This window comes from Homo sapiens, chromosome 14 (assembly GCF_000001405.40).
Source record: "Homo sapiens chromosome 14, GRCh38.p14 Primary Assembly".
NCBI classification, from domain to species: domain Eukaryota; kingdom Metazoa; phylum Chordata; class Mammalia; order Primates; family Hominidae; genus Homo; species Homo sapiens.
In genome coordinates this window covers 29848343-29874536 of record NC_000014.9, presented here as the reverse complement: position 1 = coordinate 29874536, position 26194 = coordinate 29848343, and the positions used below count along the sequence as shown (strand labels likewise).

Genomic DNA, 26194 nt, shown 5'->3' with positions numbered 1-26194 from the left:
CAAGTGCAGGCTTTTGATAAGGCAAGTTTCTTTGATATACTAATTTCTTTTCCTTTGGATAGATACCTAACAGTGGGATTGCTGGATCATATGATAGTTCTTTCAGTTTTAGAAGGAATCTTCATACTGTTTTCCGTAGTGGTCATACTAATTTACATTCCCACCAACAGTTTATAAGAGTTCCCTTTGCTTTGCATCCTCACCAGAATCTGTTATTTTTATCTTTTTAAAAGCCATTCTAACTGGGATAAGATGCTATCTCATTGTGGCTTTGATTTGCATTTCCCTGATGCTTAGTGATATTGAGCACTTTTTCATATATCTGTTGGCACTTGTATGTTTTCTGGCAAAGACTGTTATTTTTTCTCCCCATAAACATCAGCTAAAACTCAAAGCTGAGATTATGAAAAACTCTGATTATTCAGGATACATGTGTCTTTTACTGTGTATACAACCAAGCAAAAGAAATATACATTAATAGAGTAGCCAGTCATATTTGTGAAGAATGTTAGAACTCTAGCAAATAAATTTTCATAATATGTAAAATGACAACATAGATTTGATCTGTGAATGAAGAGTTTTTCATTTTATATAGTGTTTATAGTCTTTTAAACACACACACTAGTGGCATAAACAAATTTGGCCACATATTCCAGTGCAGCTGTGTGTATGTGTGTGTATAATTATATATGTGCTACTTTATTAAAATAATTTATATATTATATACAACTATGTATTTTATAAAAATAAGATTAATATTAATATGAACATAATCTCTAATATTTCATCTATTTTTACAGTGTTTTTTCTTGCCCATTTCTGGGATGGGTGCCCCCCAACTTGTGTAAACTACTGATGAAAAAAATAACTAAAATGCATCTTACATATTTAGACACTTTAAATATTTGTTTAATGTATACAAAGGACCTTTTGCACTGAAAGCTATTTATTGAGTTCACAAATGCATGTTGAATATCTGTTATGTACAAAGCATTTTGTATAGATAGTGATCTTTCTTTAGCTCTATGCAAGATTTGACTTTTTTTTTTTGTATCAGTAACCTCTTGTAAAATCTGATTTTGACCTAATATCTAGCTAAAGTTCCAAAAGTTTGTCCTTGAGAGAGTGCCTGAAATTATAAAAGTAGTATGGCTGGGCGCAGTGGCTCATGCCTGTAATTCCAGCACTTTGGGAGGCTGAGACAGGCAGATCACCTGAGGTCAGGAGTTCAAGACCAGCCTGGCCAATATGGTGAAACCCCATCTCTACTAAAAATACAAAAACTTAGCCAGGTGTGTTGGCGGGCACCTGTAGTCCCAGCTACTCAGGAGGCTGAGGCAGGAGAATCGCTTGAACCTGGGAGGTGGAGGTTGCAGTGAGCTGCGATCTTGCCATTATACTCCAGCCTGGGTGATAGAGCGAGACTCCATCTCAAAAAATAAAAAGTAAAATAATAAAAAAAAGTAGTATAGGCAGCATCAAAATTACTTGTAAAGCAGTGTTTGTTAAGGCTTTGTACTCCTCACTTATGCATTGTATAATATTTAATTTGCCTTTGGAAAAGTGAATATGGTGATAGTTTATCCTAGAAGTTGTTTGTGCTGATGTTTTGGCATTTTCAAGAAAAACACAAATATGTAAAATGTAATCAAGTGTCAAAGGGAAACTGACAAATGGCTCTTTGATCTCAAGTAAATAACAGCTTCTAAATACAGATGTATATGTCAATAGCCTGAATTTTCTTGAATATGTTTCTGTTTTGACTCCTTTTGTAGATTGATTTGTTCCACAGCAACCACCAGGTAGAAATATTCTAAAGGGCAAGAAAGAAAAGGGATATATTTGGTGTGGAGATTTTTTTTTTCTTTTTTTTTTTTTTTAGAGACAAAGTCTCACTCTGTTGCCCAGGCTGGAGTGCAGTGGCTTGATCTCGGCTCACTGCAGCCTCCGCCTCCCGGGTTCAAGCACTTCTCCTGTCTGTCTCAGCCTCCCGAGTAGCTGGGACTACAGGTGCAAGCCACCATGCCCGGCTAATTTTTGTATTTTTAGTAGAGATGGGGTTTCACTGTGTTGGCTAGGATGGTCCTGACTCGTGATCCACCCACCTTGGCCTCTCAAAGTGCTGGGATTACAGGCGTGAGCCACCCCACCTGGTGTGGAGATTTTAAGTGACTTTTGAGTCAGAGCAGTGAGCTTTTTTCCTTTTCATTCTAGTAATTATTTAAGAATGTTTAAAATGTATTTTTGTCATTATATTTTAAGTACACTAATAAATTTTTTCTGAATTGTATGCTTCTGTTTTTTAATTGCGTGAATAGCTTGAATTTCCTCTCCTGAAACAACCTCAAATTCAGTTTGTCAAAGTCAGAACACATAAACTTCTTCCTCAATGGGTTCTGTCAATCTAACAGTTTAGCAGAGGTGATTATATAGCTCAGTTCCAGGCATATAAATAGATTATGAGAATAAGATCCTGGAAACTGTTTTTCACTGAACCCAGCTGCTGCTGTATTAGGTCTGCAATAAACTGAAAATGACATTTTCCATATATGCAGGTGAATCAAGAACATAAACATTCTAAGAGTGTTTTACATCTTTCACACACCCCTTTCATCACTTTAACTGGATTAGTAGGTGGTAGCTTGGGCCAATAGTTTACCACCTCATGCAGAGCTGACTTGATTTCCAAACATTTTATTGTCTCTTTTGGAAAGTAGGTTAATACACGTGACCCAAGAGGACCCAGAGCAAGAAACAAGCACTCAATGGACAAGTCATATGAAGCAGGGTAAGAGCACTTACCATCATACTCATACCCATGGGCCTACAACTGCTCTTTCAAGTAGATGGTGATGATAAGGCAGCTATTAATTGAGAATTGACTTGAAGCAGCTTTGCTCAGATCTTTGCACATATTATCTCATTTATTAATCTCAGGATAATCCTACATTAGTTACACTTATAACCCCCTTTTTATAAATGAGCAAGCTGAAACACAGAGAGGGCAAGTCACTTGTTCGAGGTCACATATTAAATGGCAGATTCAAAATAAGAACTCAGACTTTCTGAATACAGAGCTGCATCTACTACACTCTCCTGCCTCTCATTTTGGCAATAAAGTTTTTGGCAGATGGTGATCACAGAAGTTGCTTAAAGTCACAACTTTTAAGTACTCTTTTTTCTAAAGTCAAATTGTATAGTTTTTATCCTAAAAAATTATATTATCACTTTTGTAGTTTAGAAGAGGAAGGTGTGAAAATTTGAAATGTTATCTATTCTCATTTAATTTCCTACTTTCCGTGGAGAGTATTCCATACCCAGATTAAATGTCATTTCCAATTGTTGCTCACACTTACCAAAGGGAAGGTCTCTGCTCAGTTTTGAGCAGAGGCTCCCTGTGTAGGAGTATGACAGTCCTCAGTAAAGTTTTGTCACCTATGTTTGGCAAAACATCCTGGGCAGATGAGCGATTCATGTGGCAAGAGCACTGCCAATTGAAAAGGTGCATTAGTATGAATATTAGCACCTCTAAGTGTTTGTGAAATAGCAAAGGTAGAAGGACTAGAATATTGACAAAGCATTTTCAAAAAATTATACTACTTCTAATAGCTTAACATGTTGATAGAAAAGACGATTCAGTGTAGAAGTCTGTGATGATTCAATTCTAAGTTGTATGTAATAGAGCTAAAGTCTGTAATTATATTTTAGAGGAGTATTAAACAATATAAACATGATCTCTGAGTCATAAATGTCATTATTACACTGAGTTTTAAATATAATTCATTTATAACCATATAATAGACACATAATATTACTGTGTGACAAGAAATACTCTTAGATGTAGCAAGAAAAAATGGAAATTACAAACATATGTGATTTCAAAATAATTCTTAACATTTCTTCAGGGGTTATTACAAAGCAAATGAAAGGAATTTTTACAAGGTGTAGTTCAGTTGCAGTTTCCCTCCTCTGTATTCACATTATTGCCACAGCTTACGAATGACAAACATTTGTGGACTATGGCAGCAATCTGTTGGGTGTTTCAATCTATTTTGAGCTGAAATTGATTAGCACTTTATGAAAAGTGTACAGAAAATTACCATGCTTATCAAGGCAAATCAAGCCATAATTCTGCCTTTTTTTTTCTACACCTGCAGCTATGAATATTTTTTGGTGGGTACATTGAGACGTGCTCAAGAATATACATATTGGACTGCATATCATGCAATTTATTCTGATCTTACTGACAGTTTGCAAACAAAAACTCAAAACAAGATGCAACTGTGTGCAGCTCCTGAACTGTAGGTTCTGATTTTGGCATCCATGAATGCACGAGGAAAGGGGGTGCAGCTGAAGAGGTGTGCTTTTGCTCATCTTACAGTGAAATATAATCTGGGCATTTGTTTGATGGATTTCATGAAATATGGAGGAAATCTGAACCAAGGGTTTCACCTGATTGCTTTTATTTGCCCCACCTCGGTAATAATAATAAGTGAAAATCAGCTGGAGTTGATGACTGTGGAGCCATAAGTTAACCATATTGAAGGAGAATCATTAAGAATGAGGAAAGGAGAAAGTGGGCAATGATGGTGATCTTCCTTTTTTGAGAAGAAGATACCCACCTCTCGCCAGTCACCCCCTGCCATGGCAATCTTTCAAAGAAAAGCAAATATTGTAGGCCAAAATAAAAAGAGGAAGAACATGGACTACATTGGGCTCCTTGTTTGAGTGGGTGTTTAATGTAGAAAAATGGTGTAGAAATAGGTTAGTTTTTATGCTGTCGCTCTGGGCAGACTTGAGAATAAATATAATGAGATTAAAAAAGACTGGGGGACCATAGCATAGTGCTTGGCACACAGTAAAGTCCCCAAGAAATATTTGCTGTTTGATTTTTAAATATATTTATACTTTTATCTAATTCTCTTGTGGTGTCAAATTCTTTATAACTAACAGCTTTACAAAAAGTACTATGTATTCTTTTCTGTATGACCTTATTTATGAGATTCCTGTTCATTTTTGGTTACTGAGATTTACTGAACAAGGTGATGTTCAGCATAGGCAAATATTTCTTTCTTTCTTCTTTTTTTTTTTTTCTTTTTGAGATGGAGTTTCGCTCTTGTCCAGACTGGGGTACAATGGTGCGATCTCTGCTTGCTGCAACCTCCCCATCCCAGGTTCAAGCAATTCTCCTGCCTCCTCTTGAGTAGTTGGGATTACAGGCACGTGGCACCATGCCCAACTAATTTTTGTATTTTTAGTACAGATAGGGTTTCACCATGTTGGCCAGGCTGGTCTCAAACTCCTAATCTCAGGTGATCCATCCTCCTCGGCCTCCCAAAGTGCTGGGATTACAGGCATGAGCCACCACACCCAGCCTCTTCTTCTTTTTTAAAGTAAGAGCTGGATCTAGTTTGTTTTCAGCCTTCATCTTTGTATGCTTGATGTTTGTTTGCACACACCAAATCCAAGTGTAGGATTCTAGAATTTAGGATTATGTTTTGCTTTGATTTTCATAATGGTACTAGTGGCTAATAACTTCAGAGAACATTCCTCAGTGACTTTTGAGTTCTTTTTTTGCTATTATTTCTGATAGCTATGAGCACATTTTACTAGAGATATAAATTATATGATTTCTCCCTAAGTGTATTTGCCTTGCACTTGTGTCCGTATCGATTGGCCTCAGTAAGTAGAATGCATGTTTCCATAGGAACTAGAATAATAACTTGATATTACTGTGCCTAGTGTTTCATTGTTCCATGAAAACATTTGCAAAGCAAAAGAATGTGAATTTATATGCTAATAATCTATCAATTTTTGCTTTTTAAAAATGTGTCTTTTTGAAAAGCTGCACTTTACTCCAAGTAAACCTATTTCTCTTCTTCATTATTTTTGAGGAAAAATTGTTAGTAGTAATTATTGGATTTTTCACCTCTCATTCCTCTATTATATAAGTTTATGAAAACTAAATGAAAAAAATGCAGTGAAGGTAAGATTCAGTGCCAAATCTCTCCAAGTGTATGTACCTCCATACGCTTCATACAGACTTCTTTACAGCATAAGGCTACTATTTATTTTTATTGTTCTTGAAATCAGTGTATAGGTTGGGTTTAATTTTATTGACACTCCTTTTTAAAACAATTCAGACTGATTTCAGAAGAGACATCTTTTGCATCAGAGAGGACTAAACTATGCAAAGTGGCATCTTTTGAAGAATGCTTATTACCAGAGTGGTAGCAAGGAATTTTGCTCAAGCAGTTCCTATAGTGATTGCAAACTGGCTCACTTCCCAGCTCTTAACAATTTCAGCGTGGGTTTTTCTTGATTGACCATCAGTCATCAGCATCTCTGAACATATACATTACACACACACATACACACTCACAACATACACATAAACACACTTGGCCAGACATAAGGTAAACAAACAAAAGACTGTTATTGAAGTCGAGGAACAGCTTACGCAGAGCAATTTAATCTTTTTGCATAAATAAGATCCCTATTCTGTTAAGCTGTTTTGGAATATGGAAAGCCTATAAATGCTGACTTTTAATTTTGAGAAATCAGAATCAACTGTAGAATGCTTTCTAGTGGTTCAAATATTCAGGGTCTATGACTAATCCCACCCTGTTTCCTTCATAGATTCTTTATAGTTTAAAACACAGACTAAGTATTCTAAAACTAATTTGTAACTGCCTCTTCCAAATTTCTGGGTTGTTGGCTCATTTATTCATTAACTCCATCATCTACTTTTGGGACATTTCCTATATGCCAGGCTCTGCACTAAGCAGAGTGTCAGAAACCTTCCTGCAGATACCCCCTGGCTCATTCTGCCTCTGTACCACTCCTTCATGGCACAGCCATGGGCATCTTTTAGCAACACAGATTTGATCACATGACCGTCCTGCTTAAAACTTTTCAAGGAAGTCCCATTACCATTTTCCTAAATTTCAGAGTCTTTGTCATAGCTCACAGAGTCTTGTGTGATGTGGCCCCTGCCACCCTCTCAAACCTCATTTCATTGTATTTCATCCTTTACCCATTGAATTCCAGCAACACTGGCCACCTTTCTGTGCACAGATGAGGCCAGGATCTTTCTCAGTTGAGCCTTTGCACGGTGAGCTTTTGCTGTTCCTCTTGCTAGGATATTCTATTCCCTGTTCTTTTCAAAGTTTCTTCCCTTTCTTCATGTCTTATCTTGTGACATTTAAATGTCACTCCTTGAAGATTCTTTCCCCAACCACTATGTAAATGGGCCTTCCCTGCAACTCTCTTTTGTTACATTGTTTTTCTTATAGTACATTAACAGTTCTAAACATACATTTATTTGCTTTGTTATTTTCTGTCTCCCCCACTACAGAATGATGTTGGGAAGGAATTTATAGACAGTGCCAAAATTATGAGATTGAAGCTTCTATCCAATTGAGGAGCAGGTATAGTGGGAATGAGCAGTTGAGAGAGCCAGAAAGATAAAAGATTGCAGCCAGATGACATTAGAAAATTATAAGTGTCCAGCAGTTCTTAGAACAATTTTGGGGGTGAGACTATGGGTGTAAGAGGCCAATGTCAAGTGGAGGGGAAGTGAGGATTGTTAGATTTGAGTGTCCACCATGTGTGAGGCTTCATTAGGCACTTGGTATATAAGTCTCAGTTCATGCCTTCAAGTGCTCCAGACTTGTCTATAAAACAAAATCCGGTGCTCACAAGCTGCCACAATACTTTTATCATTCTAACTTGATTCTCCAATGATGCCATTTAGTAACCTCCTACCTCTGCCACATTCTTCTTTGTAAATCCTGTTTAGATCTGCTCTATGCCTTTCCTTTTTCTCTGTCTAAATCCCATCCATCCTGTAAGCATCAACTCCTGGAAGTCATTTCTAATCACCTCTTTCTGCACTGCCCCCATCCCCTGTTGTGTCATCTGTCTCTCCCCTAAACATGCAGAGTTGTGTCTGCCTCCTTTTGTCTGTGCTTTCACTGTATTTTATTCTTTGTCTCACAGATCTTATTTTCCCAACTAGACTTAAACACCTTGAGTGTGTAATAGTTTCTCATATGTCTTTGTAATATGTCTCAATAAAATATCTTAGGAAAGACATGGGGAAAATATTTGATCATGGAAGATTAAGGAGAATTTTTCTCATGTATAGCTGCTAAATAAAAACCAACTACATAGTATAGAATGGTATATGATGCTAATACGTAGCCAATTAAGAAATTAACCATTTGACTGCTTTGTATATAAAATGATTGTAGTGCCTGTTATTTCAGTAAGAAGCTGATGGAGAGGGATATGTTAGATGTTTAAATGGCATAGTTAAGGTATTCAAGGTTAAACCTTTTTTTTTTTTGGTCTGAAATATCAGCAATATAGCTTCTAAATTTTTATGGCTGCTTTTCTGTATCACTTTATCTTATGTGAAATTTCAGAATGATTTATCTGTAATAAACATCATCATCTGACATGGCTGAAAACAGTACTTTTTGTTCATTTTGATTTTTGGATAATGCAAAATTATAGATTTTTTAAAAATTATATTCAAAGAATACTGAGTGCAAGACAATCTTTCTAGGTTAAAAAATATCTTATAAACCTGAATTGTCAATTATTATTGTATCCCAGATGTATGGAAGTTAATGGATAGTCAGTAACATACAGGACTAGCAGAAGGTTTGTTGTTATAGGTAATCTGGAGAGAAGCCAGGTAAGTGGAATTTGGGATTTGCTGCTGTTGCCAGAAAGCAGCACAGAGACATGGTAAGTGGCAAGACCCAGGTAACTAAAACAACCATGTCTTAGTCCTTTTATGCTGCTGTAACAGAATATCACAGACTGAGTAATTTATAATGAACAGAACTTTATTTGTCTTCTGGTTCTGGAGACTGGGAAATCTAAGAGCGTGGCATTGACATATGGTGAGGGCATTTGTGCCTCATCATCCCATGACAGAAGATGGAAATGCAAGAGAGCTCAAAAGCAAGAGAGCAAATGGGGCCAAACTTGCTTTTTATAACAAGCCACTCTTGTGATAATGAACCAACTCAAACAATAAAGACATAAATCCATTCATGAGGGCAGAGCCCTCAAGGATGAATCACTTCACTTCTTAATGGCCTCAGCTTCTAATACCATCACAATAGTAATTCAGTTTCAACATGGGTTTTATAGGGACGTTGGAACCACAGCAAACTGTAACCATTTTGATTTCCTTATTTGCACCATTTTAAAAAAACCTATTTATTTAACGGCTGTTTATTCAGTGCCTATTCTGTTGTGTTGGAGACTAGAGGTAATTACAAAGGGAATAAGACAAACAGTCACCCACTCTGGTGATGCTTCCCTTATCTTCATAATGCATTTGATCCTGTGATTCTTTGGCACATGAGTCCATTGCATCTTGCATATTAGTGTCCAGTAAGTTTTTCCTGACCAATTGATAATATAGATATACATTGGTAGCAGTTTTGTGTATATTTTTATAGTTAGATGTTGTTGGCACATGTGACTTGTGTCTCAGAAAAATACAGAAAATGGTTAAAGACAGGAGGATACTACCCTGATTTCTCTGTTCATTAAAGAACAGCTATTTGGGGGGAAAACCTGATACAATTATTTGAGCATGTGGCTTAAAGATTAGACCTATAAACAATTCAGGAGCATCTTCCAGCAAACTGTGTGAGAATTCACAGAAATAAACCTGGTAGGTTTGTGCTATGTTATTCACATGGGCTGTTAACTCTTTTCCATTCCTAGGTCCTTTATTTCCCTGCCCTCCTCAATCTCATGCTCTTGAGATTTTTAACTATATTACTTCTTTACAAAGTCATCTTCAAAATGATTCATTTTGGATAGCAAACTATCCCTCAACTTACCTACACACTCTCACTCATACTCACATTCTCTCTTATGTCTTTCTGTGTGGAAGGGAACATTTAGAATGTCTATTCTTTGTGATGCAAAAATGACAACACACTGATGATGAAGGGGGGTATTTTTAGGAGAAAAAGTAGCTTTTCTTTTCATCATACTGCCACTTTTGAGATTCTATAGAAAGAATAGGTATTGAACACAGACCACTTGGCTCTCTGAGGTATGCTTTGGACACACTTAGAAGTCAGCTAGAATATGCCTTCTGTTTAAGGTTGGAGTCTGCATTTAAAAAGAGAGAACTGGATTAATTGGCAGGTAAGTTGAGATTCCATGATTCAGGAAACCTTTAAGACTTTTAAGTGCAGGCTCTTTGTAGGTTGGAATGAAACTTAATATATATATATGTTCTTTGATTCTTTCTGTACAGTTATATAGTTGTCTTCTGACTGTGTTATATTGGTTGGAATATTAATATGTTGCCTGTGGAATTCACATATGGTCATTGTCCAGTAGTGACAAAATGTTTTAATTAATGTGGCTAAGTTCTCTTATTTAATTTATAAAATAAATATTTTCTTTATTATCTTACTTCAGAGAAAAATTTTATGCTTTAACTGATACCTTACATCTGAATTTTGAAAAAACAAGCATTTTTACCGCACACAATATCATACTGTTTAACTTCAGGTTTACCATAAAAATTATTTTAGCTGTTCTTCACCACCACATTGTTTCCCAGAAGTAGCTAAAACTGCCGTTATTCATTTGTGTTTTTGAGATTATATTATTTTACCTTAGATTCTTTGAAAAACTCTGTATGCTCTACTGATTTTTGTTGGGGAAAAAGTGTGTATTTCATGACACAGTTCTCCAGATATAATGGACATTATCCAAACCTGAAAAAGAGTAAGATTGTAGAATGCTCCAAGGAAGCTTGAAAACCAAGGGGGAGAGAAGGTTGTCACATTTTCCTCATGTACTTTGGTTAATTTTTCATTATATCTTTATTTATTTTTCTCTGTTTTTCTTCAGTTATAATATGTCACTTTGTGATCAGAGGAGATATAAATCTCCTCAGGGCTTGTCTAACATTCAACATTTAGTCCTAAAAGCCAAATCGAGTCCAGAAGTCTAAAATCCATGCTTGTTTGTTTTAAACAAAGTAGAGTGAGAGATTTCGAGAGAAAGGAAAAACTAGAGTTGACGATAGAACAGACAATAGAACTGAAGAATAAGATGGCTCATTTCGATCTCCAGGGGAGTGGGATTTTCCTCATATTGGTGAAATATTTAGTTAAAACCACTTCATTTTTAATTCCACTGTCTTCAAAACACTTTTATATCTGATATCTTGTTTTTGCCTTAATCTATGAGTAATAATATGTACCTACCTTATTAATTAAAAGACAAAGAGAATGATATTGAAAGGATACTAAAGGGACCTACCTAAATGTCTGTAATGTGAAATAAATAAGCTGTTTAATTTTTGACTCCTAAACTGACTCTTTTCTGCCAGTTTTACTTAATATATGTGTATTTCCCACTTGTGAGGTGATTGAAAGGAAACCTTGAACTATGCTACAGCCATTCAGTAAGAAATTCTCTATAAAGAGTGGCAAAATAATTCAGATTATTAGAATGTTGCTGTCTTTATCAAAGTCAAAGCTAATTTTGTTTTATGAAGCCGCCAAAAGAAAATGCTTGGGGAAACTCTCCAGGACATCGGTCTGGGCAAAGATTTATTGAGTAATACCCCATAAGCACAGGCAGCCACAGCAAAAATGGACAAATGGGATCACATCAAGTTAAAAAGCTTCTGCACAGCAAAGGAAAAAATAAAGTGAAGAGACAACCCACAGAATAGGAGAAAATATTTGCAAATGACCCATCTGACAAAGGATTAATAACCAGAATATATAAGGAGCTTACACAACTCTATAGGAAAAAAAATCTAATTATCTGATTAAAACATGGGGAAAGATTGGAATAGGTATTTCTTGAAGACATGCAAATGGCAAACAGACATAAGAAAAGGTGCTAAACATCATTGATCATCAGAGAAATGCAAACTACAGTGAGATATCATCTCACCTAGTTAAAATGGCTTCTATCCAAAAGGCAAATAAATGCTGGTGATTATTTGGAGAATTGGCAACCCTCATACACTATTGGTGGGAATGTAAATTATTACAATCACTATGGAGAACAGTTTGGATGTTCCTCAAAAAACTAAAAATAGAGCTACCATACAATACAGCAGTCCCACTGCTGAGGGTACAGAAATACCACCCCCCTCCCCGAAAAGGAAATCAGTGTATTGAAGAGATATCTGTTCTCCCATGTTTTTTGCAGCCCTGTTCACAATAGCCAAGATTTGGAGGAAACCTAAGTGTCCGTCAACAGATGAATGGATAAAGAAAATGTGGTATTTGCTAGTCAGCCACAAAAAAGAAAGAGATTTAGTCATTTGGAACAACATGGGTGGAACTGGTGGTCATTATGTTAAGTGAAATAAAACAGGCACAGAAAGATAAACCTCACATGTCCTCAGTTATTTGTGGAATCTAAAAATCAAAGCAATTGAACCCATGGGGATACAGAGTAGAAGGAGGGTTACTAGAGGCTGGGAAGGGTAGTGAGGGGACAGAAGGGAGGCTGGGACAGTTAATGGGTACAAAAGAATAGTTAGAATGAATGAATAAAACCTAGTATTTGGGCCAGGCACAGTGGCTCACGACTATAATCCCAGCACTTTGGGAGGCCAAGGTGGGTGGATAACAAGGTTAGGAGTTTGAGACCAGCCTGGCCAATATGGTGAAATCCCATCTCTACTAAAATACAAAAAAATTAGCTGGGTGTGGTGGCACACACCTGTAGTCCCAGCTACTTTGGAGGCGGAGACAGGAGAATCGCTTGAACCCGGGAGGCAGAGGTTGCAGTGAGCCAAAATCACATCACAGCACTCCAGCCTGGGTGACAGAGCAAGACTCCATCTCAGAAAAAACAAAAACGAAAACAAAACCAAACCAAACCCTAGTATTTGATAGCATGACAGGGTGACTATAGTCAATAATAATTATACATTTTAAATAAAATAATATAATTGGATTGTTTGTAACACAAAGAGTAAATGCTTGAGGGGATGGATACCCCATTTTCCATGATGTGATTATTATGCATTGCATGCCTGTCTCAGAATATCTCATGTACCACATAAGTATATACATCTACTACATATGCACAAAAATAAAATATAAAAAAATTATAAATACAATTTAAAAACACTTGAAGAGGTAAGGTCAGGTTATGTATGGTATAAAATCTTTTAGTGAAGGTGTGTCAGGATATAGTTTGTACAAGTCAGGGCATCTGGTATTTGAGATTACCAAGCTAAAACCATCTCAGTTTGTGAGAAGTGGCACCAATCAAACAGAAAGCCCTCTTTTCTCCATTCCATTTTTTTTTCTTCAAAGCTGTCATTTGCTATAAGTTATATTCAGTTTAAGAGGTGCTAGTCATAGTTTGTTGGGCTAAATTTTGCCATTTGTACTTTATTCTGGCAGACAAATGAGTTTAATTTGGCTTGTTTAGTATATTTTGAAATAATTTTTAATACAAATATTAAAAAGTAAGTAATGGAAGGGGAGGTCCATTTCATCTAGGTTCGAAAATTGGACTGGTATATTCTTTTAGTAAGTGTGGAATTTTTAAACTAATTACGGAATTAACCCATAATTGGGGAAGATAAAGATCTGGGAAAAGCTGGAAAGTTGGTTTAGTGGAATGTCAGTTGCTCCTGGAGTCAAATAACCTAAATTTGAGTCAACTTATTATCCAGTGCCCTTAGGAATGTCATTTAAATTATTTAAGTATCTGTTTCCTTATCTATGAAGGGAGAGGAAGAACACCTACTTAAAAGGACAGGAGGTAATATTTTAAAGGCAGTTCCTAAATTGTACATGTTTAAATACACATAGGTATGTTTATTAAGTGAAAAGGCATTTGCAATACATGGAATCTTAAAATTATATCAGTAATTTAAATTTAATTTCTAAAGTTATAGCTGTAAAACAAGTATCTTCCTGTATCAGCTCTGGGCAACAACTTCCCCAGGTGATATTTGAGCTGAATGAGCTCAAGTTTGAATTAACGTGATATCTCAATGTAGTGTTTCTTGGGTTGATTGCAGCAACTCTGAGTAGCTGGTTCTCAGGCAAGACCTCTTTCTTATCTTGCAGCTTTTACCATTAGGAGATATATCACCTATCTTGCCTTACATTAAGAAGAGTATCTTCATGTCCCTTTCTGAGCTACACACGATGTGATTTAGTTTGGATTTCATTCTTTCAGAAAAGTGTAGCCATTTGCTTGCTGCAATAGAACTTTTTTCCCTCCGCAGCCTTCGCTGCAACACAGTGGGTCATGTCTAAAAAAACAAGGTGCCTGTTTTATAATCGCTTTGATTTTTTCAGGAATAGCACCCACAGCAGAAAGAAGTGAACTTGTTTTGCAGATTGTAGATGTGGCACATTTATTCACATGTATTCTGAGTAGTAAAGTGTTAATTTTTCAAAACTACTACTTAAGCCTTGCAACCTTTTGCCCTTAAGTCTCTAGGAATGAAGAGTTAATTTGACTAGTACTGAATTATATAAGAAAGTGTTCTAAAAACTCACAAGTACACTTTAATGTATTTGGTTCCATTCAAAATCTGTTTACTCATTCAGATATATGTGAATAATTTTAATTATGCATTGTTTTTAAAGAAATATCTTAGACTGAGTATGTTATAATTAATTATTTAAAAAACTATATTATTTCCTGAGTATTGTCTCCAACTGAAGAATTCCACGTCTTTTTGCATGCTTTGAATGTTTACTACCAAGCCATATAACTTCATAGTAATTAGTTAATAAATTTCCTTTTCTGTGTTCGAATTCTTATAATGAGATTAGAGTTATAAAGTGAAGTTTATTTTATTTTACTTATTTATCTACATGAGGAAGCTTGTTGACTGAATATAAAGACATTATTACTGTCAGATTTTTTTTTTTTTTTTGAGACAGAGTCTTGCTCTGTTGCCCAGGCTGAGGTGCAGTGGCAGGATCTCAGCTCACTGCAAGCTCCGCCTCCTGGGTTCATGCCATTCTCCTGCCTCAGCCTCCTGAGTATCTGGGACCACAGGCGCCCGCCACTATGCCCGGCTAATTTTTTGTATTTTTAGTAGAGATGGGTTTTCACCGTGTTAGCCAGGATGGTCTCAATCTCCTGACCTCGTGATCCACCCGCCTCAGCCTCCCAAAGTGCTGGGATTACAGGTGTGAGCCACCACGCCTGGCTAATTTCTTTTTGTATTTTTAGTAGAGACGGGCTTTCACCATGTTAGCCAGGGTGGTCTCAATCTCCTGACCTCGTGATCCACCCGCCTCGGCCTCCCAAAGTGCTGGGATTACAGGCATAAGCCACGGCGCCCAGCTTACTGTCAGATTTTTAAATGTGATTTACAAGCAGCTTGGCTTTGACTTTTGATGGCCTAACTGATTTTGAGAATTATCAGACATTTAATGTATGAATCTTTGCAAGTGGGGAAATGCTATATTATTTTATAACAGTTAGTATGACCTGCTTTTTGCCATTGGTTTAGTAGTAAAGACCTTTTTGTAATTAAAAAGATAGTAATCAATTAGGGGGAAAAGGTATTGTGTCATTATTCAAATAGAGGAGACTTGTAATATTGGAAGCAGATGGTGCCAGGGGAAGTGACTTACAGACACTTATAGGTGCAATAGGTTATAGTGCCCCCTCCCAGCATTTTTTCTAAATAGCAGAGTTTTTTGTTTTTGTTTTTCCTATGGAAAAAGAAATGAGAATATCTTTCAGTTCTGTGTGATTTGGCTTCAGAGATCTTCTCAAAGATAAAAGATAATGAGTTTAAGGTACTTAAAAAAGAGCAGGGAAAGCCATTATATTTATGTGGAATTTTCTATTTTTGGTGCAGGTGGAACCTCTTTGAAGGTTTGCCATTAAGAAAAAAAAAATCCCAGGGGAAAAGTAGGGACAGTAACCAGTATCATGACAAGTAATCTCTAGTGTTTCGAAGTGATCCATAGGGCATTATTTAAAGGGAAATGATCACAAGCTCAGAACGTAGTCATGTTCTTCTGGTGTGAAACTAGAAATGGGGAACTGGGCGAGGGAGGGAACTGGAGCATTACTCTTAAAGTCTTAGGGTTAAACCTCAAAGGTCTTATAGAGACATTTCCTGTTCAGTTCAGCTATTCACTTATTCAACAAATATTTACTGAGCATGTACAATTTGCCATACACTATTATAGGTGAGGACAACAGTAGTGTAAAAACCAGTTTGTACCCTCATAGAGTTTATGTTCTAGTAGGGAAGATGGTCAATGAATTATGAGGTCAGATGGTGATAGGTGCTTAGAAGAAAACCAAACTGAGATCAGGGGTGAGTCTAATCAGGAAGCCCTCCCCTTAATTTATTCATTTGTTGATGTATCTGTTCATTTATTTGTTTAATGAAATAATTGTTGATCTTAAGCAAGACAGTTTACTTTCTGCTTTCAGTGACTTATGTAAGTGAGTTGTATGAACTCAGAACTAGTTTTCTCATACAAAAAAAGTTAAACAACTAAAGTTAAATTTCTTAGCTGGCTCACAGAATCTCCTTGAACCCATGTTAAAAATTTCACTGTGGTACTATGATAGGAGACTCCACTCTGGTTCTTAGGAGGACAGAACCAAGGAAAATGAGAGAAAATGTGGAGAGGAGTCTTTTGCTGTAGAATTGGCAGTCATCTTTTAGGGAGATTTTTAAATAAGCTAGTTTTGGTTTCACATTCTTCTATCAGATTTTCACCACCTTAGACTTCCCCTGTTTCCCCTCGCTGCCTTTTTCAGTCCTCCTTTCTCCTCCCCGCAGCCTGCTTTACTCATAAAAAGTGCTTTGTGGCATTCTAGCATTTTCTTAGAGGGGAGCAGTTTGACTGAACAACTTCTTCTAAGTGTATGAATGAGACATAATATAAGCATAACCCTAACCTGAACGAAGGTATTTGCATTTTCTGAAGAGGACACTTGAATCACTAATTGCTGGCATTTTGAGCTACCTGAAAAAGCTATGTGAAAATCCTCAGAGAATGTAGAGGACCTACTGTGGGCAGGAGGCCATTGGGTCTGTCAGGAAGGCCAACAATTCCTTTCAGTCTCCTGCCCAGGTAAGGTGTGCAGCCTTGCTTTTTAACTTTTTCTCTTCCTTCCATGAAAAAACTGGTGTTTCTTTTTTGTTGTTGTTGTTTTCTCTGATGGCTCTCATGCATTTTTATTTTCTGCCTTTTATAAGCTGGGTGGTTGCAAATGAGGGTAGTGTGGATAGGGTTCATGCTCCTGAGGCCCATATTCTGGCCTGTCAGCATGTTGAGCCAAAACAATGACAATAACAATGACAATATTAATGACTATGTTTTCTGACTGCCTAAGTATGCTAGTATTTCACATATATTCATGATACCATTTGGTCTTTACTACAGTCCTGAAGGGTTCATAAGAAGACCATTTGTAGATAAAGAAGGCAAGGGAGGTGAGAGGTTAAGATATTTGCCCCAGATTACAGGGCTAGTAAATGCAGTTGGGTTTGATCACACTTGGGTTTGTTTGATCCTGAAGTCTCTTTTCTTTTCCCTACTACTGTCCCAGAAATAAGTGACTGGTGATTCCAGAGGAACTGTTCCCTTGTTAGGCTCGAGCTGTTTTAACTCAGGATCACCAAGTGACTCTTGATGTTCTGCATACCGAGGCAAATGGATTAGGCTACAGAAGAAAGACTTGGAGCAGGAGTTCCAGTGGAGTGATTTTACTCATGTTAGCTTACCAGCCTCAGAGATGTGCCCGGGAGTCTGTTCCTATTTTAGGTACCCAAACTTCAGCAGGCCTTCAGGACCCATGGTACTTGGACTCTTTCCTGGACTTCATGGTATCTGGGCTCCTTCTCTCTTGAGTATTTAGATAAACACATGAACAGTCAGTTAGTGCATTGAACTCACGATACATTGATTGGTTCCTCTTGTGGTATTAACAGAGCTTATTGCTGCAGATTTTACTGACAGATAAAACTGGCACTAAAATTATCTATTTGTATTTCCTTCTCCATGAGACACTTTCATTGATTGTTTACTTTTATCCCCTATAAAAATACCTAGTGAGAAATCTGTGTTTTTAGTGTCTTTTTTGTTCTGCTTGGGGACCATGGCAAACCTTTGGTTGTGGTTGTACAATCAGTTATTCAAGTATTTCAACAATTGGCTGCATTAATTTTTTTCTTTTTTCAAAGGGATTGGGGAATTGGCAGTGGTGCTCAGGTTGCTGTATTTGGAATATAGAATGATCTGCTTGTCTCAAGTGAAAAACTCCTTGTAGACTTGGAAAAAGAGTTTGCCTTTGACTGCATAGGCTGGTACCTATTTTTTGATTTTCTAGCATTTTTCCAATTGGCCCATTCAACTTCCTTTATACCCTTTGTGATGTGAGGTATCGGATGCAATATTCTTTGTATGGTGCCATCCTTCATCCAGATGCATATGTTCTAGTGAAGCCAAACTGAAGGAAGAGAATGACTCTATTATGATGGATTAGTGTGCATATATTAGTCTATTTTCATCCTGCTAATAAAGATGTACGCAGGACTGGGCAATTTACAAAAGAAAGAGGTTTAATGAACTTAACAGTTCCACATGGTTGTAGAGGCCTCACAATCATGGTGGAAAGCAAGAAGGAACAAGTCACGTCTTACATGGATGGCAGCAGGCAAAGAGAGAGAGCTTGTGCAGGGAAACTCCCATTTTTAAAACCATCAGACCTCATGAGACCCACTCACCATCAGGAGAATAGCATGGGAAAGACTAGCCCTCATGATTCAACAGTCTCCCACTGGGTCCCTTCCACAGCATATGGGAATTATGGGAGCTACAAGATGAGAGTTGGGTGGGAACTCTGAGCCCAACCATATCATTCCATCCCTGGCTCCTCCCAAATCTCCTGTCTTCACATTTCAAAACCAATCATGCCTTCCCAACAGTCCCCCAAAGTCTTTACTCATTTTAGCATTAACTCCAAAGTTCACAGTCCAAAGTCTCATCTGAGACAAGGCAAGTTCCTTTCACCTATGATCCTGTAAAAGGCACTGGGTAAATACAGCTCTTCCACATGGGAGAAATTGGTCAAAACAAAGGGGCTAAAGACCCCATGCAAGTCTGAAATCTAGCTGGGCAGTCAAATCTTAAAGCTTCAAAATGATCTCCTTTGGCCCCAGGTCTCATATCCAGGTCATGCTGATATAAGATATGGGTTCCCATGGTCTTGGGCAGCTCCGTCCCTATGGCTTTGCAGGGTACAGCTTCCCTCCTGGCTGTTTTCATGGGCCGACATTGAGTGTGTGTGGCTTTTCCAGGTGCACAGTGCAAGCTGTCAATGGATTTACCATTCTGGGGTCTGGAGGATGGTGGCCTTCTTCTCACAGCTCCACTTGGTGGTGCCCCAGTAGGGACTCTGTTGAGGGCTCCAACCCCACATTTCCCTTCCACACTACACTAGCAGAGTTTCTCAATGAGGGCCCTGCCCCTGCAGCAAACTTCTGCCTGGGCATCCAGGCGTCTTTATACATCCTCTGAAATCTAGGCGGAGGTTCCCAAACCCCAGTTCTTTACTTCTGTGCACTCACAGGCTCAACTCCATGTGGAAGCTGCCAAGACTTGGGGCTTCAACCCTCTGAAGCCACGGCCCAAGCTCCCTGTTGGCCCCTTTGAGCCATGGCTGGAGTGGCTGGGATGCAGGGCACTAAGTCCCTAGGCTGCACAAAGCATGGAGACCCTGGACTCAGCCCACGAAACCACTTTTTTTCTCCTAGGCCTCTGGGCCTGTGATGGGAGAGGCTGCAGTGAAGACCTCTGACATGGTCTGGAGACATTTTTCCCATTGTCTTGGGGATTAACATTTGGCTACTTATTACTTATGCAAATTTATTCAACCAGTTTGAATTTCTCCTCAGAAAATGGTACTTTGTTTCCTATCACATTGTCAGGCGGCAGATTTTCTGAATTTTTATGCTCTGCTTCCCTTTTAAAACTGAGTGCCTTTAACAGCACTCAAGTCTCCTCTTGAATGCTTTGCTGCTTAGAAATTTATTCTGCTAGATACCCTATATCATTTCCCTCAAGTTCAAAGTTCCACACATCTCTAGGGCAGGGGCAGAATGCCACCAGCATCTTTACTAAAACATAAGAGTCACTTTTGCTCCAGTTCCCTACAAGTACCTCATCTCCATCTGAGACCATCTCAGCCTGGATTTCATTGTCCATATCACTATCAGGCTTTTGGTCAAAGCCATTCAACAAGTCTCTAGGAAGTTCCAAACTTTCCCACATTTTCCTGTCTCTGAGCCCTCCAAACTGTTTCAAGCCCTGTCTGTTACCCAGTTGCAATGTCGCTTCCACATTTTTGGGTATCTTTTCAGCAGCACCCCACTCCAATTTACTTTATTAGTCTGTTCAGCAGCACACCACTCCAATTTACTGTATTAGTACCAATTTACTGTATTAGTCTTTTCTCATGCTACTGATAAAAACATATCCGAGACTGGGCAATTTACAAAAGAAAGAGGTTTAATGGACTTACAGTTCTACATGGCTGGGGAGGTATCACAATCATTGTGGAAAGCAAGGAGGAGCAAGTTACATCTTACATGGGTGGCAGCAGGCAGAGAGAGAGAGCTTGTGCAGGGAAACTCCTGTTTTTAAAACCATCAGATCTCATGAGACCCATCCACCATTATGAGAACAGCATGGGAAAGACCTGCGCCCATGATTCAACCATCTCCCACCAGGTCCCTCCCACAACACATGGGAATTATGGGAGCTACAAGATGAGATTTGGGTGGGGACACAGAGCCAAACTGTATCAATGCAGTTCATGATGTATCCTCTATTATCAAAGATGAATCCTTCCACAAGTGTAACTTAGCGTCAGAAACTTCACCACTGGTAAATGACATGGAATATAGTGCAAAGACCTTCGGTGTAGGAATGCAGATGGTTCATGCATGATTTCATCTCTGCCACTGTCTAGAAATATAAGCTTTGATAAGTTTGTTTATTTTGTGGGCCTTGGTTTCCTAGTTTATAAATTAAAGCTAAAGTAATCATCTCTGCCACTGTCTAGAAATGTAAGCTTTGATAAGTTTGTTTATTTTGTGGGCTTTAGTTTCCTGGTTTACAAATGAAAGCTACAATTAAGATAGCCTTTAAAGCTGTCATTACATTCTGTAATCCAAGGCTGAAATAAAATAGGGTGCACAGAAGTGCATTATTGCAGTAAAGTTATAGGACTTTCTATGTCTCCCTTTATGTTTGTCAGTTTTTGCTTCATATAATTTGATGATCTATTATTAGGTGTATGAACATTTATGATTGTTATGTTTTCATGCTGAATTGAACCTTTTATTTATAAATAATATTCATTGTCTCTTGTAATCTTTTCTGATTTAAAGTCTATTTTGTCTGATATTAATATAGCTACTTCTGCTCTTTTTTGGTTATGATTTATATGAACTATCTTTTTTCATCCTTTCACATTCAGTTTACTTGTGTTTTTCAATCTAAAGTGAGTCTCATGTAGACGGAATATAGTTGGATCATATGTTTTGATCCATTCTACTGATCTTGGTATTTTTGATTGGAGAGTTTGATCTACTTACATTCAGAGTAATTACTGATAAGGAGGGATTTACTTTGTCATTTTGCTGTTTGTTTTTTATATGCTTTCTAGCCTTCTCTCATTTTCTGCATTAGTCTCCCTTTGTGTTTCATTGATCCTTTTTTGAAGTGAAACATTTAAATTTCTTTTTTGTTTCTTTCATTTCATTTTCTTTTCAAAATCTAATTTGATTTTATGTCAGATTAACTTCAGTAACATACAAAAACTATACCCCTTTTACAGCTTTGTTCCCAATCCTTTCAGTTTTTGATGTCACAAAATTCCATCTTTATCAAATTTGGGAAGTTTTCATCCATTATTTCTTAAAATACTCTTTATGCCTCTCTTTCTCTCTCTCTCTCTCTCTCCTCCTTCTGGTACTCCCACAATGCACTTGTTAGTTCACTTGATGGTGTTCCACAGGTCCCTTTGGCTCTGTTCACTTTTCTTCAGTCTTTTCTCTTTCCTTTCCTCAGAATAGATATTTCCAGTGTTCTATCTTCAAGTTTGCTGATTCATCTGCCTGCTCAAGTTTACCTTCTAATTTCTCTAGTGTGTTTTTTATTTTATTTATTATACTTTTAAGCATCATAATTTCCTTTTTCTTTTAGGTTCTCTGCCTCTTTATTGATATTTTCATTTTATCCACACATTATTTTCTCAACTTTTATTTTAGATTCAAGGGGTATAATATGCAGATTTTTTACATGGGTATATTACATGATGCTGAGGTTTGTGGCATGATTTAACCTGTCACTAGGGCAGTGAACATAGTACCCACTAGGTAGTTTTTAAACCCTTGTTTCTCTCCATCATTTCCCGCCTTGTAGTCTCCAGTGTCTGTTGTTCCTATCTTTATGTTCATGTGTACCCAGTGTTTAGCTCCCACTTGTAAGTGAGAACATGAAGTATGTGGTTTTCTGTTTGTGTGTTAATTTGTGTAGGATAATGGCTTCCAACTCCATCTGTGTTGCTGCAAAGGACATGATTTTGTTCTTTTTTATGGCTGTGTAGTATTCCATGATGTATATGTACCACATTTTCTTTATCCAGTCCACTGTTGAAGGGTGCCTACGTTGATTCCAAGTCTTTGCTATTATGGATAGTGCTGTGATGAACATATAAGTGTATGTGTCTTTTTGGTAGAATGATTTATTTTGGGGTTTACAGATCCAGTAATGATATTGCTCAGTTGAGTGATAGTTCTATTTTTAGTTCTTTGAGCAGTCTCCAAACTGCTTTCCACAGTGGCTGAACTAGTTTGCTTTCCTACCAGCAGTGTGTAAACATTCCATTTTCTCTGCAGACTTGTTAGCATCTGTTATTTTTGGACTTCGTAATAATAGCCATTCTGACTGGTGTGAAATTGTTGGTATCTCATTGTGGTTTTTGATTTGAATTTTTCTGATGATTAGCGATGGTGAGCATTTTTTCACGTAGTTTTTGGCCACTTGTATGTCTTCTCATGAGAATTGTCTATGCCTTTTGCCCACTTTTTAATGTTTTGTTTTTGTTTTTGTTCTTTTGCTTGTTGATTTAAGTTTCTTACAGATTCTGGATATTAGACCTTTGTAGGATGCACAGTTTGTGAATATTTTCTCCCATTCTGTAGGTTATCTGTTTACTATGTTGATTGTTTATTTTGCTGTGCAGAGGCTCTTTAGTTTAACTGAATCCCACTTGTCAATTTCTGTTTTCATTGCAATTGCTTTTGATGACTTAGCCATAAATTCTTTGCCCAGGCCAATGTCAAGACGGACATTTTCTAGGTTTTCTTGTAGGGTTTTTGTAGTTTGAGGTTTTATATTTAAGTCTTTAATCAATCTTTAGTTCAGGGTCCAATTTGATTCTTCTGTGTATGGTTAGCCAGTTATGCCACCACCATTTATTGAATAGGGAGTCCTTTCCCCATTGCTTATTTTTGTTGACTTTGTCAAAGATCAGATGGTTGGTTGTGTGTGGCTTTATTTCTGGGTCCTCTATTCTGTCCCATTGGTTTTTTTTTTTAATTTTTTTTTGTCTGTTTTTGTGCCAGTACTGTGCTTTTTTTGGTTACTGTAGCCTTGTAGAGTAGTTTGGTTTGAAGTCAGGTAATGTAATACTCTTGGCTTTGTTCTTTTTGCTTAGGATTGCTTTGGCTATTTGGGCTCTTTTTCAGTTCCATGTACATTTTAGAATAGGTTTTTTTTAATTCATGAAAAATGAGATTGCTATTTTGATAGGAGTGGTGTTGAATCTATAGATTGCTTTGGGAAGTATGGCCATTTTTATGATATTGCTTCATCCAATCCATGAGCAGGAGTGTTTTTCCATTTGTTGTGTTATCTGTGATTTCTTTCAGCAATGTTTTGTAGTTATCCTCCTAGAGATCTTTCAACTCCTTGGTTAGATGTATTCCTAGGTACTGTGTGTGTGTGTGTATATGTGTGTGTGTGTGTGTGTGTGTGTGTTTTGAATGGGGTTGCTTTCTTGATTTGGCTCTCAGCTTGAATGTTATTTTGTATAGAAATGCTACTGATTTTTGTATATTGATTTTGTATCCTGAAACTTGATCCAAGTCATTTATCAGTTCCAGAAGCCTTTTGATGGGATCTTTAGGGTTTTCTAGGTATAGAATCATATCATTAGCAAAGAGATAATTTGACTTATTCTTTTTCTTTTTCTATTTTGATGCCTTTTATTTCTTTCTCTTGACTTATTGGTCTGACTAGGACTTCCAGTACTATGTTGAATAAGAGTGGTAAGAATGTGCATCTTTGTCATGTTCCAGTTCTTAAGGTGAATGGTTTCAGCTTTTGTCCATTCAGTATGACATTGGCTGTGGGTTTGTCATCAGTGTTTCTTACTATTTTGAGGTATGTTTCTTGATGCCTAATTTTTTGAGGGTTTTCATCATGAAGGGATGTTGCACTCTCTCGAAAGCGTTTTCTTAATCTATTGAGATGATTTTATGGTTTTTGTTTTTGATTCTGTTTACGTGGGAAATCACATTTATTGATTGGCATATGTTGTACCAACCTTGCATCCTGGGAATAAAGTCGACTAGATCCTGGTAAATGAAGATTTTATGTATTGTTGGATTTAGTTTGCTAGTATATTGTTGAGGATTTTTATATCTATATTCATCAGGGATATCGAACTGCAGTTTTTTTTTTATATTATCAGAATGATGCTTGATTTATAGAATGAGTTAGGATAGAGTTCTTTGCCTCTATTTTGGGGAATAGTTTCGGTGGGATTGGTACCAGCTCTTCTTTGTGTGTCTGATAGAATTTGGCTGTTAATCCATCTGTTTAGGGCGTTTTCTGATTGGTAGTTTTTTTTTTGTTGTTGTTGTTGTTGTTGTTTTACTTCACTGATTCAGTTTTTTAACTCATGTTCTGTTCAGAGTTTCAGTTTCTTCCTGATTCAATCTTAGGAAGGTGTCTGTTTTGAGGAATTTATCTGGATTTTCTAGTTTGTGTGCATAGAGGTGTATTACTCCACTCTTGCACTGCTATAAAGAAATACTTTAGACTGGGTAACTTATAAAGAAAAGAGGTTTAATTGGCTCATGGTTCCACAGGCTGTACAGGGAACATGGCTGGGGAGGTCTCAGGAAACTTACAATTATGGTGGAAAGTGAATGAGAAGCGGGCACGCATGTCTTCACATGGCCAGAGCAGGAGGAAAAGAAAGAGGAGGGAGGTGCCACACACTTTTAAATAAGCAGATCTCATGAGGACTCTGTCATGAGAACAGCACCAAAGGGGAAAGTCTGCCCCCATGATCCAATCACTTCCCACCAGGCCCCACATTCAACACTGGGAATTATAATTTGACATGAGATTTTGGTGGGGACACAAATGCAAACCATATCAAGAGGTGTTCATAATAGTCTCTGAGGATCTTTTGTATTTCTCTGGGATTGGTTGTAATGTTACATCTTTGTCATTTCTGTTTATGCTTATTTGGAACTTCTGTTGTTGTGGTTGTTGTTAATCTAGCCAGCATCCTGTTGATCTTGTTATCCTTTCAAAGAACCAACTTTGGTTTCACTGATCCTTTGCCATATATTATTTTATTGACTTTATCTACATCTTCCTTCAGTTCTTTGAGCATCTTTAAGACAGTCGTTTTGAAGTTTTTGTCAGGTAGATCTGTCATCAGGTGTTTTTTGCAGACAGTTTCTGTTAATTAATTTTTGTTTGGATGGATTATAGTTTTCTGTTTCTTTGTATGGATTGTGATTTTTTGTTGAGAATCAGACACTTGAATCTGATAATGTGGTAGCTCTGGAAATCAGATTCTCTCTCTTTTTCAGGGTTTGCTGTTTTGTTTTTTTTTTTCCTTATACTTTTTAAAATTGTTGTAGGCTGTCTCTGTGCCAAGGATCAACCTGAGGTGTCAACTTAAGGTCTTTTCAAGTTCCTTCTGAGCCTGCACAATCACTTTCTAATTTTCCCCATATATGCAGTTGCTTTTGAATGTTTTAGTCTTTAATGCCTGGCTTTCAAAAAGGAAAAAAGTGAAAAATAAAGTGTGTGTGTGTGGGTGGAGTGGGAAGAGTACTGGCCCTTTA

The 26194-nt window shown here is 37.3% G+C and overlaps 1 protein-coding gene across 6 annotated transcripts in view; it reads left to right on the top strand.

Moving 5' to 3' along the window:
• PRKD1 (protein kinase D1) overlaps positions 1-26194 on the top strand; it is a 351369-nt gene that overhangs the window by 53311 nt on the left and 271864 nt on the right. Inside the window, exon 1 of one of the 6 annotated variants that reach the window (XM_011536965.3) lies at positions 1419-10185. The exons of the other annotated variants lie outside the window; for them this stretch is intronic. The gene's annotated coding sequence lies outside the window, so the exon portion shown is untranslated. Of the gene's footprint in view, positions 1-1418; positions 10186-26194 lie in introns of those variants that run through there. 6 annotated transcript variants of the gene reach the window in all.